This window comes from Homo sapiens, chromosome 10 (genome assembly GCF_000001405.40).
Source record: "Homo sapiens chromosome 10, GRCh38.p14 Primary Assembly".
Classification (NCBI taxonomy): Eukaryota; Metazoa; Chordata; class Mammalia; order Primates; family Hominidae; genus Homo; species Homo sapiens.
In genome coordinates, this window is record NC_000010.11 from 99,716,346 (window position 1) to 99,732,172 (window position 15,827).

Consider the following 15,827-nt stretch of genomic DNA (forward strand, 5'->3'; position numbering starts at 1 on the left):
ACCTGTGTATACGCCAAAGCCAGCAGAGTCACTGCTGCCATCTTGGTCCTTCTAGGAAGGGGAATTCTCCGAGAGAGGAAGTAGAGCACTGTAATGGCAGTGACTGAAGTGATTCCCTGCAGGGAAGAAAGAGTCTATCACATTAGATAGAAGTGCCAGGTTTCTAACTCACCTTACATGTATCTCCTCTAGAACCACTCAGCAACCATGAAGTACTTTCCTGTACCAGTCACAGAGAACCTCCCTGCAGTCCCAGCCTGATCACTCCTCCACAGGCTGTCTCTTCCACCATCCTCTTCTGCTTGCCACTTAAACGTCGGTATCACCCAGGCTCCACCTAAGATTCTGTATGTACTTTATACACCCTCACTCCCAGTGATCTCATCCACCTTCCAATGTGGGTGTCCCCCTCATTTTTAATTCTTTGCATCCTTATCCCTAACCATATCTCTAATCCTATATTCTTAAAGCAGGGCTGACCCCAGCACATGAGGGTTATTATTTTCCTGGGCTGTGAGTGGAGAAAGTGCTGGTGCTGCCAGCTGGTGCTAAAAAAGACCTAAAGTCTCATTTTCATTCCTATCTCTTCAGAACAAGGGTCCAGGACTGGCAATAATGGTCTCCTTCCTCTTCCACGGTATCAGGGAGAATGTTTTCTATCATATTTCTACATTTATTTCACTTCATTTCCTTTTCAGTGCTGTCCACAATGACAATTTCAACCAGGCTTTACTTATGCTAAAATACTGTGCGCAGGTGGGGACTCAGCCCACACCAGGTAACATGCCTCAGCCCAGCCCCCGTTGGACAGCTGAGCCCTCTGGCCCCCTCTCTCTGGACGTGCTGCTCTCATCTCACACTCAACATACCTCCATCTGATGACATCCTCCCACCTCTAGCTCCACACTCATTCTGAGGGTCCCATCCCTGTAGGTCATGTTTCAAGCATGCTGTAGAAGAAACTTTGGGATTTCACTTGATCTTTCTTCACCTTTATTCCTGACAGCCAATCTTATTAACTCTTTTCCTTTATTTATTTATTTATCGTAGAGATGAGGTCTCCCTGTGTTGCCCAGGCTGGTCTTGAACTCTTGGGCTCAAGCGATCCTCTTGCCTTAGCCTCCCAAAGTGCTGGGATTACAGGCATGAGCCATTGCGCCCAGTGCTCTTATTTTTAAATTAAATTTAATTTTTTAAGAGACAGGCTCTCACTCTGTCTCCCAGGCTAGAATGCAGTAACGTGATCACAGCTTACTGCAGCCTCAAACTCCTGCTCAAACAATCCTCTCGCCTCAGCCTCCCAAAGTGCTAGGATTATAGGTGTGAGCCACCATGCCCAGCCTCTCTATTCCTTTAAATTCTCTCTCAAATGCATCATTCTTCTCAAGTCCCACTCCCACCATGTAGGCCCCATCTCCATCACTCTCCCTGGCATTACGCAGCAGCACTATGCTTCTCACAGTCTCCTTACTGCTCATCTTTCCCCGCTCCAATTCATCACACACAGGCCTCCAAGCCAATCTTTGAATGGCCCATAGCAGACCCTCAAAACATATTCGCTTAAATAGAATGAAAAGTACTGGTGAAGCTCCTGGCTCCTTGAGCTTCTGGTTTAGCTCCGAGAGCTACGTGCTTAGCAGCTATGGTCTCCGCATTCGCTTCTCTACTCAACCACATTTCTGCTGAAATGACTTTCTAGGTACGTGCAGAATTGAGGGAGGTTATCACTTGCCAAGTGGTAAAAGGCACATTTGAACTTTTAAGAAGCTGGCAACGTCCTGAAAGCTAGAATTTGGCTGGGGTTGGGGTAGGGGGACAGGGGTGAATAATGAGGACAAAGACATTAGATTAGAGAAATGGTCCTAAAATTTCTTCCAAAGAGAGCAGGAAATATAGTTCCTGCTCTACCCTCTCAGTGTTGCCATCAGTGCTTCACTGACACCCCAAAGCCTATGATAGGCTCCTGTGCTCTCTGGCAGGTAACCACCAACTACACTTACCAGAATCCGGTGATCAAACTGCACCATGGTGGGATTCTCAAAAACATTCCTCAGGATGGGGGAGAAGGTAAAGAGGTCCTCCGGGATCCAGGATTCTCCCATTTTGGGAAAGGAGTTATAAACAAGCCCAGCATCTAGCCCTGCCACAAAAGCCCCTGTATTCCAAGGTAAATGGTATTTATTAAAATGAGAGGAAGAAGAGACCAAATACTAGTTCTGATATAGAAAAAGTCTGTTATCCCAGAGTTAAACTAAGGGAACAGTCAGAGAATAATAGACATATCTGCAACAGGAGTTCTCCAACAGAGAAGATACATCACAATCACCAAGGAAACTTCAAATCTCTGCATCCTTACCTGCTCCCACCCCAAGATTCTGCTTCCTCTAGAGAAGTGGAGTAGAGGCTGTGGTGTGGGGGGAGGGGGAGAGGCTTATTAGCTTAGAAAAATTCCCTTAGTGATTTTGATGCCCTCCTCACCCCGCCACTGAGTGCTACTGATTTATTTTAGAAATGCTCTCCCACAGATGTCTGCATGACTGACTCCCTTATTTCCTCAGCTTCCACTCAGATGTCACCTTACCAAAGAGATTTCGCTTGATGATCCTAGCCCACTTTCTGTCTCCTGACCCTAATTTATTTTTCTTCATGGCACTAAATATCATCTAGCACATTATGTTTCTATTGTGCGTTATCTGTCTTCCCCAAATGCTCAATAAATGTTTGTTGACTGAATACGGAAGTGAGAAAAATCCCAAAACTTATAAACTAAATCCTGGATAAACAAATAAAGAGGGTATTCATGAATTAATGGATGTCTGATCCATTATTTATTATCAAAGAAAATCCAGAAATGTTTGGGTCACACTCGCTTTTTTCTTTCTTTTTTTTTTTGAGACGCAGTCTGGCTCTGTCCCCCAGGCTGGAGTGCAGTGGCATGATCTCGGCTCACTGCAACCTCTGCCTCCAGGGTTCATGCAATTCTTCTGCCTCAGCCTCCCGAGTAGCTGGGACTATAGGTGCGCCCTTTGGTAGAGACGAGGTTTCACCACGTTGACCAGGCTGGTCTCGAACTCCCAACCTCAGGTGATCCGCCTGCCTCGGCCTCCCAAAGTGCTGGGATTACAGGCATAAGCCACCATGCCTGGCCTTTTTTTCTTTTTTTGAGTCAGGGTCTTGCTCTGTCACCCAGGCTGGAGTGCAGCAGCGCAATCTCCGCTCACTGCAGCCTCGACCTCCTGGGCTCAAGCAATCCTCCCGCCTCAGCCCCCTGAGTAGCTGAGACTACAGGTGAATACCACCACACATGGCTAATTTTTGTATTTTTTGTAGAGACGAGGTTTCACCATGTTGCCCAGGCTGGTCTTGAACTCCCTGGCTCAAGCAATCTACCTGCCTCAGCATCCCAAAGTGCTGGAATTACAGGTGTGAGCCACCATGCCCAACCCACTCCATATTTTTTTTAAATGTCCCTTATGAAGTAAAAATTCATGCTCTTATGCCAAAAATAAAAGTGTTGAGTGGCTCATTGGTTTGAATCAATATTATTTTTAGTCCAGAGCAGTACTATCAATAGAACTTTCTGTGAGAGTGGAAGTATTCTATATTTGTGCCAACCAATATACTAGCCCCTAGCCACATGTGCCTGTGGAGCATCTGAAATGTTGCTAGTGTGACTGAAGAACTAAATTTTAAATTTTATTTAACCTTAATTAATTTAAGTTTAAATATCCACATGAGGCTACAGGCTCCTCTACTGGATAGTGCAGTTCTAGAATGAGAGCAGCAGTGGTGGAAGTGTGGGTTAAAGAATGAAAACGGCCAGGCATGGTAGCTCATGCCTGTAATCCCAGCACTTTGGGAGGCTAAGGCGGGTGGATCACCTGAGGTCAGAAGTTCGAGGCCAGCCTGGCCAACATGGTGAAACCCCATCTCTACTAAAAATACAAAAATCAGCTGGGCGTGGTGGTGTGCACCTGTAGTCTTAGCTACTCGGGAGGCTGAGGCACGAGAATCGCTTGGATTTAGGGAGGCAGAGGTTGCAGTGAGCTGAGATCATGCCACTGCACTCCAGCCTGGGCAACAGAGTGAGACTCAGTCTCAAAAAAAAGAATGAAAAAATCCTGTGTTGGTCTCTCTGTGCCAATGAACTCTCCACCTGCAACCATCTCTGAGGGCAAGCCTTTTCTCTGACCCATGTTGATGTAATGTGATGATAACAATGTTTATATATAGTAACAGCTAACACTTATGTAGCCTTTGCTACATGCCAACAACGATGCTACACATTTCACATTTAGCAGTCATACTGTTGTCGTAATCTCCATTTTATAGATAAGGTCTCTAAGGCCCAGAGAGGTTACAGAGCTTGCAAAGGTCATATAGTTCACAGGTAGTGAAGCCAGGATTTGAACCTAGGCCATCTGGATCTAGGTAGATGTTCAATATTTTTGTTCAATTGACAGTAAAGTAGAATTTTTGGAAGAGAGAAAGGAACAGGAAACAGGGTGAAGATGGGGGAATGAGAGAAACAGATGTGAAAAGGAAATATAAAGATGCAGGAGGAAGGGGCAAAGCATTAGGCAAGAGGTCCCAGCTTAGAGTGCAATGCAAACAGGTCATCTTTGATGAGCTGAGTCCTACCTGAGAGGGCCGTAAGGAACACCAGACCTGCTGTTCCATGAGCAAATCGTCTCAACTGTAGGAGTTGGTGGGTTTCAGGCAACTAAATATGAAAAAAAATCATTCAGTTAAACTGTGTTGCAGGAACAATGAGAGGCAGCAAAGATCTCTAAGGCCAAACCCAAGTGACAAATTAAGATCAGATCTTCTCTGACCCCTAGACTAGGTTAAGTACTCCTGGCAGATATTCTGTTCCAACATGTACTGTATTTTATTATAATTATAGATTACTATCTGTTTTCCCTTCTACCCCATAAGTTTTGTGAAGGCAGGAACTGCCATCTTTTTTACTAGAGCAATCTTAGCCTAGTGATTGGCACATAGGTACTCATTACGCATCTGTTCAAAAACTGAATGATTTCCATTATTCAGGAAACAATGCTTCATCACGGTTGAAAGGATGTAGCTTAAGATCAGGACTGGATTTTCATGTGTGTGATATTAGTGTTTAGCAAATATAGTCAGAATCAAAATTGCATAAAGTGCTTAGAGATTCCTCCATTTAGTGTTTTTGATAAAATCAAAATTTGTTTTTATTCTTATTACCAACTTCTAATACTAATAAGTGAATCATCAAATATGAATAAGAACTTTATAAACAGGTGACTATGCCACCCTCAAATGGCTTACACTCTACTATATGAAAAGTTAGGTATCATTACTAACATATTATAGGACAGTATATCAGCACTGTCCAATAGAACTTTCTGTGATGGAAAAGTTCTATCATCTACCTAAGGAGAGCTTGAAACATGTGGCTAGTATGACTGAAAATTAAATAAAAAATTAATTTTATTTAAATATAAAGTTTAAATAAACAAAAAGCTTATGTAAATAAATTTTATTTAATTAAAAAAATTTTTTTTCTCACTTTGTCGCCCAGACTGGAGTGCAGTGGCACAATCTTGGCTCACTGCAACCTCCACCTCCCAGGCTCAAGCGATTCTCCTGCCTCAGCCTCCCAAGTAGCTGGGATTACAGGTGCGCGCCACTATTGCCCAGCTAATTTTTTAACTTTTAGTAGAGATGGGGGTTTCACTATGTTGGCCAGGCTGGTCTCAAACTCCTGACCTCAAATGATCCACCCGCCTCAGCCTCCCAAAGTGCTGGGATTACAGGTGTGAGCCACCGTGCCCAGCCTTAATTAGTTAAAATTTAAATAGCCATATGTAGCTAGTAGCTACTGTGTTGGACAGCATAGCACTATATGGCTCATTGGGTAGCATCTCAAATCCTTTTTGTAATTAGGTGAATCTAAACTAACAGAGAAAAACAATTGATAAAGTCATCAGTAACCTTTAAGAGTACAATTTCAGTAGCAAGAGTGTGTGGGTTTATGTGTAAGTGTGGGTAAATGTGTGAGTGTGTATGTATTGGGTTGGGTGAGGAAGATAATTACAGGGACTGAAAAGAAGGAATAGATTGTCAGGAAGCAGCAGCTATAGATGCAGGCAAAATGAATTCATTAAGATGAATTCATTTTAGAAGTCTGAATTAAAATGAATTCATTTTAGAAGTTTGGCTTTGATGGGCACGGTGGCTCACACCTGTAATCCCAGAACTTTGGGAGGCCGAGGCGGGTGGATCACCTGAGGTCAGGAGTTTAAGAGCAGCCTGGCCAACATGGTGAAACCCTGTCTCTACTAAAAATACAGAAAATTAGCCGAGCATGGTGGTGTGCGCCTGTAGTCCCAGCTACTCGGGAGGCTGAGGCTGAAGAATTGCTTGAACCCGGGAGGTGGAGGTTGCAGTGAGCCAAGGTCACACCACTGCACTCCAGCCTGGGCAACAGAGCAAGACTCCATCTCAAATAAATAAATAAATACATAAGTAAATAAATGAAGTTTGGCTTTGAAAGTCAGGAGACTTTCAAATAATTCCTTATTTTTCAGATGTGGAATTATTCAGTGGTTGTCTACTGTATCAATATTTCAACCCAATTTGGCTTCTCTGTGGGAATGACTGCCAAGACAACACGTCCAGTCCTTACTGGGATCTAGCTACTAGCTCCAAGTACCTAATGGATGATTCGACTTAAGAGTCCTGCTGTCATCTCAAACTTTTCTCCAGGAACAGCTTACTCAGGTCAACCCATGATTTCAATACCTAATATAAGACTCTTTTTTTTTTTTTGGAGATGGAATTTCGCTCTTGTTGCCCAGGCTAGACTGCAATGGTGCCATCTCAGCTCACTGCAACCTCTGCCTCCCGGATTCAAGCAATTCTCCTGCCTCAGCCTCTCGAGTAGCTGGGATTACAGGCATGTGCCACCATGGCTGGCTAATTTTATATTTTTAGTAGAGATGGGGTTTCTCCAGGTTGGTCAGGCTGGTCTCAAACTCCCAACCTCAGGTGATCTGCCTGCCTCTGCCTCCCAAAGTGCTGGGATTACAGGCGTGAGCCACCGCGCCTGGCCAAGACTCATTTAAAAAAAAATTCTAGGGAAAAAAATGTCCTATAAGGGTGTGGTGTCTTGGAACCTCTATTATTAATGAAGGCCTCAAAAAAATGTTATACCTTGCTTTTAAATCAAAGCATAAAATGAAAAACTAGTACTTTGCTTTAATCAGCAGACAGAAAAATACTTCAGACAAAATCACTAAGGTTTACTATTAGACTTAACTGGCAGGTCCCCATTTAACGAACAATATAGCTCTTGTCCACACCAGAAGTTCAGAAACACCTCTGTTCTGATCTTTCTCACTTTGCCATCCACCATCCCTTCTAGGAGTCAGAGGTAAAGCGACTGGGATATTTCTTGTTGTTGGTACTCCCTCCCACTCTATTTTTCAATTTGTTTCACCTTTGCCAATAGAAAATGTTGGCAAAATATTCAACTCCTATATGATCCAGCAATTCTACTTCTAGATATATATCCAAAAGAACCAAAAGCGGGGTCTTGAACACAGATATTTGCACACAACTCTTACCTTGTGCGGAGGGAGTAGCAGTGACAGTGAGGTCCACAAGCTGGCACAATAAAGAACCAGGGCTGATCCCAGGTGGGCAGCAAGGCGGTACTGACTGACCCGAGGGATGTCATGGGAGTCTGATTTTTCTTCTAGTCCACTTTTCACCATATACCATCCCAACAGACCCTAGAACCCCCAAGAGATGAAGCAAACAAAACAAGGTTAAAATGATCTGTTCAACTTTCTTTTTTTTGTTGTTTTTTTGAGACAGAGTCTCACTCTGTCACCAGGCTGGAGTGCAGTGGCGGGATCTTGGCTCACTGCAATCTCCGCCTCCCAGGTTCAAGTGATTCTCCTGCCTCAGCCTCCCAAGTGGCTGGGACTACAGTTGCGCATCACCACGCCTGGCTAATTTTTGTATTTTTAGTAGAGATGGGGTTTCACCATGTTGGCCAGATGGTGTCAATCTCTTGACCTCGTGATCCGCCCACCTCAGCCTACCAAAGTGCTGGTATTACAGGCGTAAGCCACCACACCCGGCCTGATCTGTTCAACTTTACTGAGGAAATGAGCTATCAGGAGTACTCTCTACCCCACCCCTCCTCTTTCCATACCCTCCCCAATACGCAGTGTCCCAAGATTCATGATTTATCCACAGTTCTTCACATATCACCATTAATACTTAACTACTATTTAGATCAGAAGTGTCTGATCTTTTGGCTTCCCTGGGCCACACTGGAAGAATTGTCTTGGGCCATGCATAAAATACACTAACACTAACAGTAGCTGATGAGCTTTAAAAAAAAAAAAAGGTCCATGGATATATCTCATAAAACTAGATTGAATGTTTTGGAGAAACTTAATAAAGGTAAATGCTTAAAAACATCTACTGTCAAGTTAGGTTGGAATAAGACAATTATAAAAGTTTCAGGGGAAAATCATAAAAATCAATAAGGTTTTGCATGCAGATCGCTTTGCAAATATCTAAGTTCCCACTCCGCTTTAAGCAAAACCACAGTTTATGGGGATATAAGAAACCTGCAGTTGAATGCCAATCTGGGGACGCATAGTCAAAGAAAAGGCCTTGATTTTGTAAAAGTTGGTAATGAACGTACAGATTTAAGTTTAAAAGTTTATGTTATGTATCATATTCTATGATTCTCTGCTTTAACTGGCTTTTTCAATTAACCAAACAATTGTTAGTTCCAATCATATGAAATAAGACAGCCCTTTCACTCCCACTTGCCAGTAGAATCAGGTCAAAGAGGTGGACTCTGCCACTTCTAAATATATACTCTTCAGGAAATCTTTTTGGGCATTTCTCTCCCCTTTCAAGATTACCCTGGATATTCTAATTACCTTGATTTCATCTGCAAGAGACATTGAAAGATGAAGACGTACACAGTTGATTCACTAGCCCACTTTCTTCTCCCATACCTTATCTGACATCTTTAATTTCTGCCTCCCTAATAGTGTTTTCAGTGTTGGCTTGTTTTTCTAATTCTAAAATGTTAACTTTCATTTTGTTCTACATGCCTTTCTCTGGTTACTATTAGACTTTGATTATTGTTTCTGCTGCCTCTATTTCTTCTCTCTCATCTCCCTCCTTAATCCCTTCTTTCTTTATTTATTTTTTTTGAGCCAGAGTCTTGCTCTGTTGCCCAGGCTGGAGTGCAGTGGTGCAACCTCTCAGCTCGCTGCAACCTCCGCCTCCCCGGTTCAATCAATTCTTCTGCCTCAGCCTCCGAAATAGCTGGGACTACAGGCCCACGCCAGCATGCCCAGCTAATTTTGGTATTTTAGGTAGAGACAGGGTTTTACCATGTTGGCCAGGCTGGTCTGGAACTCCTGATCCCCCACCTTGGCTTCCGAAAGTGTTGGGATTACAGGTGTGAGCCACTGCACCCGGCCTTAATCCCTTCTAACTGACTCATTTTCTTACCACTTCTGAGTTAAATTAACCAATTAGCTTCCTCCTGATTAAATTTTGATGTTTCTTTGATGCCCTGATAATCTCCTTTAGGATCTCTAAACCTTGACCCAAATACTCCTATGTGTCTTCTCTTTTAATTTGTTGCTCAGTTTCACCCAACTTTTTTTTTTTCATCATTCTAGCAGTACTAACCTGTTAACTGTGGGAGTCTTTCCTTAAGAGGCGCTCAACTTACGTGATTTTAATTGCCATTTATATCTGAATATCTCTCAGCTACATGGGTATTCTACAATCCTTCATCCCACAAAGTGTTTCTCTCTTTTGGAATTTTCCTGTATGCTTCTGTGGCATTCTAGCACAGGGATCCCTCTTTCCTATAGCAGACAAGTTAGAAAAAGAGGAGAGACAAGAACCTAGGGAGACACCCATGATGGGAAACAAACTACATCTTGCAGCACATGAAAATATACTACTGAGTGCTTTACTGATTCCAGGCACTAAGCTAAGTACTTTAAATATGGATTATCTCATTTAATATTTACACGACTGTACATGGTGGCACTGTTATTATCCCCATTTACAGGTAAAGAAATCATAGCTTTCAGAGGTTAGGTAATTTACCCTAAGTGTCAGAGCTGGGGCTTGAAGCTAGGCCTGTGACACTAAAATGCATGCTCTTACCTATTCTATTAAAGTGCCTCAGAGATTATTTCCTTAAAAAGAATGCCAACTAGGGGCCGGGCGCAGTGGCTCACACCTGTAATCCCAGCACTTTGGGAGGCCAAGGCAGGCAGATCACGAGGTCAGGAGATCGAGACCATCCTGGCTAACATGGTGAAACCCCGTCTCTACTAAAAATACAAAAAATTAGCCAGGCATAGTGGCAGGTGCCTGCAGTCCCAGCTACCGAGAGGCTGAGGCAGGAGAATGGTATGAACCTGGGAGGCGGAGCTTGCAGTGAGCCGAGATCACGCGCCACTGCACTCCAGCCTGGGCGACACAGCGAGACTCCGTCTCAAAAAAAAAAAAAAAAAAACAATGCCAACTAGGAAGCTCCTGGGAGCATTTCTGGTTTCTCAACCTTGAATAAATCTTACCTGGAAGCAGACGAGGCCACAGAGGGCAAGAACACGTCCTTTCATGCCACGGCTGAGCCAGCCCTTTCTCCAAAAGTAGGCAGCAGGCAGGATGTACACAAGGCCTACAAGGCGACCCCACATTCGGTGTGAGTACTCCATGTACCAGATGAACTTGAATTCTGTCAGTGTCATATCATGATTCAAGCTGGGTGAAATGGAAAGTCAAAAAAGGAGGAGGAGGAAACATCCTTCTGATTTTTATTTTCTTACGGAATGCAAAACCTTTCTTTCTCAGTCCTGCAACTTGGTAGGTCTGCCCTCTTCCTCATCAACGACCTCAGGATGACTTTGGATTTGGGGGCTTAGAAGACAAGCTGACTAAACATAACTGAACCGAAGTTCATGAAATAATCTAACCATTCTGAAGGGTTTAAGTCCAAAAGATCAAATGGGCCTACTGGGATGTTTACCTAATTTTCTCTAATACTTACATTTTAAATTCTGGAAATTGCTGGTATCTTTGGAATTCTGCTTCCCATTCCTCTTGGCTTGTAGGTGGCTTCATCTCCTTTATTAAATGCCAATCTACCATCGAGAGGCCAGACTCTGTCAACCTTAGGATAGGAAAGAAATTTTGGGGTGTATGCGTGAGGCTGGATTACTCACAAAAGGTTTATAGCAACAAGTGGATCTGAACTTAACCTTGTTAAAGGTAAACACATTGTTTCCTTGTTTCCTCTTTTGAGACATTTCTCTGTTACTGCTTGGAATTTTGTCAGAAACAGCTGCCATCAGGTACAAATTTATTTACCCTTATATTCTCTCAATCCTTTTATTCAACTCTCCCCAATTCTTTTTTTTTTCCCAATTCTTCCTTTCACTAGCATTCCTCAACAGGTAAAATCAACCCCTACAGCCAAAGAAATGTGTTCTAAATGCATAACCAACATTCCTTACCCAGGGAAAAGAGACCTGTTACATGTATACAGGTTTAGATTCTTGGGTGAATTTAAAGACAATAAAATTCAAATTTGTTTCACTTGCTCATAACAACCTATATAACACATAAGGTATTTTGAAATAAGGGACGTGGAATGTGAAGAGAATTTGAGGAAGACACATTTGATTAAAACTAGAAACTTTTTTACCAAAAGGAATTAGGATTCCTAGAGTAAAAGCCTGATTTTAGGCCTGAGGCAAGAAATGCACAAGATGAGCTCGGAACATCTTGTCATACTAGAAAGTAAGGAAACTATCAAAGGTAATTAGGGCCCTGCCAAAAAGTCACTAGAGCCAATTTCAGGAGATGCCCACTGACTAAAGATGGGACAATCTGAGCAAATCACTAACACCATCATCACAACGGACCGAAACATTATCGAGTGTGTTTGAACCTATGATCTCATAATGAGCCTTAAAAATTCAAATCCTTTATTTGTTGCCTTTGGAGGATTTGGGGGACCAATTTATTATTTTGAAAATTGGTAAATAAAGGGAAAGAAGAATCAAGTATGTATCCTGCCTTTCCTATACAAACTATACCTTGGGATATCCAAACTGATGATGAGGGAAAGCTTTTTAGAGTTGAGCTAATAAAATATTATAATTTTGCTACGCTAATGAAATAATGGATCTAGGCAATGGTAATTAATGGCTGTTAACATCTATAATAGACACCAGATATTCACGAATGTTCTATTCACCTACTGAAGTATTTTGCTCCCTCATCCCTAATTTGAATCTGATCAACCAACTACTCATTCACAGGAAATAGACGGGACAAAGGAACATGTTAAATATCACACAGTTATGCAGTCAGCAAAATCTAAACTGTGCATAACCATAGGACAAATGACTAGAGTTTCCTCAGCAACTAGAAGAGGGGGAAAGGGAGGAGTGTCTAAATCTATAGTCTCTTGATAGATTTAAACAAACCTAAGAAACATGAACCAATTGTGATGTACAGAACTTCTTTGGGTTTAATTCAAACAAACTGTAAAAAAAGTTTTGAGACAAACTTGGACTCTGATTGAAAGAGAAAAGATACATAAACAATGCACAGGTACCAGTTAAGACATAAACCAGTCTTTATAGAAGGCTCCTACTAATAAAACACTCAACTGTTCTATGGCAGGGCAAGCCATCAGACATGTTCCTTCTTTAAGGCCTCGGTTTCTCCATCTATACAATGAGGGAGCTAGACTAGATGCTCTGTAAAATTCCTTTCTCCAGCTGGGCATGGTGGCTCATGCCTGTAATCCTGGCACTTTGGGAGGCCGAGGTGGGCAGATCACCTGAGGTGAGGAGTTTGGATCAGCCTGGCCAACATGGTGAAACCCTGTCTCTACTAAAAATACAAAAAATTAGCCAGATATGGTGGCACGCGCCTAGTCCCAGCTACTTGGGAGGCTGAGGCAGGAGAATCGCTTGAACTCAGGAGACGGAGGTTGCAGTCAGCCGAGATCACACCACTGCACTCCAGCCTGGCCAACAGAGCAAGACTCTGTCTCAAAAAAAAAAAAAAAAAAAATCCTTTCTCCTCAGTCAACCTGTGCTTCTACTGATGATCCAAATACCTGACTCACTACGAGCAAATTACTTACCTAGTTACTCCACCAAGAATAACTGCTCCAGCCACTGTTCCACTGCAGACCAGGAGCCATCGGCCCACCACCCGCTCAGCAGCCTTTGAGGGAAGGGACACTGTACCCCTTCCAGATTGCAAAGCTACTTCAGAGATGGTGCTGTATTGCCCTGGCCTCAAAGGGCGCCTGATGCAATCACACTAAAGATCAAGATAGACAAATTACAACTGGAGAAACAGGGAATGGCTGCTACCCACACTCAACCCCATTCTGATTAGCGCGAAGTACCATAGCATCCCCACAGCCATGTCTTGTTAAGTCATCATCTCTTATCTGGATTACTGCATCAGCCTTCCAACTGGTTTTCCAATTGGTTTTCAAATCTAGCCTCACTCAAACCTATCCCCAACTACATGAATCTTCTCATCTCTGAATACTTCCCTCAGACTTCACTCTACTTACAGATATGGAATATTTTCTTTCACCTCTAGGTCTTTCAACATTTCTCTCTGGCTTGTACACTTCCTTTCCCCTGATTAATAATACCTACTGCAGATCTCCGCTTACATGTCACCTCCTCTGGGATGTATTCCCAGGCTCTTCAAGGTCTGCAATAGGTCACTCCCACAGCACACTGGAAAGCCCTTAATACACTGTAATGTACAGTCAAGCATCACTTAACAACAGGGGCACATGTTCTGTGAAATGCATTCTTAAGCAATTTCATCATTGTGTGAACCTCATAGAATGTACTTACACAAATCTAAAGGCTGGGTGTAGTGATTCACACCTGTAATCCCAGCACTTTGGGAGGCAGAGGCAGGGAGATCACTTGGGTCAGGAATTCAAGACCAGCCTGGCCAAAATGGTGAAACCCCATCTTTACCAAAAATACAAAAATTAGCTGGGCATGGTGGTGTATGCTTGTAATCCCAGCTATTTGAGAGGCTGAGGTGGCAGGATCACTTGAACCTGGGAGGCAGAGGTTGCAGTGAGCCAAGGTCTCACCACTGCACTCCAGCCTAGGCGATGAAGTGAGACTCCATCTCTCAAAAAAAAAAGTACTTACAGAAATCTAGATGGTATCGCCTACTACACCCCTGAGCTATATGGTATGACTTATTGCTCTTAGGCTATAAATCTGTATGGCATATTATGTACCGAATACTGTAACACAATGGTATTTGTTTATCTAAACATAGAAAAATTACAGTAAAAATATGGTATAAAAGATTTAAAAATGGGGCCAGGTGCAACGGCTCAAGCCTATAATCCCAAGGCTTTGGGAGGCCAAGGTGAGAGGATCACTTGAGGCCAGTAGTTCGAGACCAGCCTGGGCAATGTAGCGAGACCCCCTATCTCTATTTTTTCAAAAATTAGGCACAGTGGCACACACTTGTAGTCTTAGCTACTTAAGTGACTGAGGTAAGAGGATGCTTGAGGCCAGGATTTCCAAGCTGGAGGCTGCAGTGAGTTATAATCATGCCACAGCACTCCAGCCTGGGTGACAAAGTAAAACGCTGTCTCTAAAAAAGAAATTTAGAGAAAAAGATTTTTTTTTAAAAAAAAGGTACACTTGGAAAGGCAGCTCCATTATAATCTTATGGGACCATGACTGTATCTGTGGCCTGTTGTTGACCAAAATGTTGTTATGCAGCACATCACTCTACCTTCAGGTTCATCTGTTTGTATCTCCCACTAAACTATGAGCTTTGGGGTGGCAGTGTCCGGTCAGTCTTGCTCTCTCCCTTCTGCTAGCTTTGTTTCTAACACTGTTCCTTTATATAATGAGACCATGATAAGGATTTCGCAAATGAATAAACTGACTTCCTCCAGGGCAGGAGTCTTGTAATATTTATCTTTCTTTTTCCAGTTCCTAATATATAATAACCACTCAATAATTACTAGTTAAGCAAATGCATGCCCTCTTCTTACTATATCCCTGTGAGTCCAAAGATCCATGCTCGGTTTCCTATTTCTGATTAACTGAGTCACCTTTAGAAAAGTAACTTTAAGCCTCAATTTCCTTCTCTGTAGGATGCAGTAATACTTCCTCATCTGACTACTTGGAACTTTTTAAGCAAAAATAAACTATATGGGTAAAAATTACTCAGCTTTTACCATGTGCTAAAGGCCTGATGTATATTAAAGAATGTAATCCTCATAACAAACCTTAAAGTAGGTATTGTTATCCCCATTTTACAGATAAGGAAACTGAAGAACAGAAAGTTTAATTAACTTGGCCAATACCACACAGCAGGTCAATGTTCCAGATCTGAACCTAGGGGCTCTGATCTGAACCTATGCGTTGTGAGTGCACTGTAAGGAGCTCCGGAAACGTGATGTGGGGCTCTACATTATCTTTATCCCGGCCCTTTCACTCCATCCCCGCTCCCGCGACTCGGAGTCCGCTGCAGTGCGGTACCTGTGCTCTAGGCGCTGCCCTAGGAGCCAGGAGCGGCAGATACTGCCTCCCCTTCAAGGCCCTCAACGGCGGAAAGAGCAATCGCTGCATACTGATGACAGGGAACAGCCACCTCTTCCACAACCCAGGGCTCTGTGGTCTCCCTCCTCCGCCAAGGAAAAGAGAAGCACTTCCGGGTCGGGCAGCGGGAGCCCCGCCTTCTCTGGGGACCGG

The 15,827-nt window shown here is 43.0% G+C and overlaps 1 protein-coding gene across 12 annotated transcripts in view, besides 1 other annotated feature; it reads right to left on the bottom strand.

Moving 5' to 3' along the window:
* Window positions 1–15,782, bottom strand: part of COX15 (cytochrome c oxidase assembly factor COX15) — a 37,835-nt gene extending 22,053 nt beyond the window's left edge. For 4 of the 12 annotated variants that reach the window (NM_001320974.2, NM_004376.7, NM_001372024.1 and 1 more), the window contains exons 1-8: window positions 15,615–15,782; window positions 13,208–13,389; window positions 11,096–11,218; window positions 10,623–10,809; window positions 7,611–7,778; window positions 4,642–4,723; window positions 2,001–2,155; window positions 3–116 (exon numbers count right to left, since the gene is read on the bottom strand). In NM_001320974.2, the coding sequence (NP_001307903.1) occupies window positions 3–116; window positions 2,001–2,155; window positions 4,642–4,723; window positions 7,611–7,778; window positions 10,623–10,809; window positions 11,096–11,218; window positions 13,208–13,389; window positions 15,615–15,704 (1,101 nt within the window). In that variant the 5' untranslated portion in view covers window positions 15,705–15,782. Of the gene's footprint in view, window positions 1–2; window positions 135–2,000; window positions 2,156–4,641; window positions 4,724–7,610; window positions 7,779–10,622; window positions 10,810–11,095; window positions 11,219–13,207; window positions 13,390–15,614 lie in introns of all 12 variants that reach the window. The other 8 variants (XM_006717634.4, NM_001372028.1, NM_001320975.2 and 5 more) reach the window with 6 other exon arrangements.
* Window positions 15,484–15,703: an enhancer, noted in NCBI's record as "active region_3872". NCBI's record gives its function as "activates an Ori minimal core promoter by ATAC-STARR-seq in GM12878 lymphoblastoid cells {active_cell/tissue: GM12878}" and the evidence as "EXISTENCE:reporter gene assay evidence [ECO:0000049][PMID:35858748]".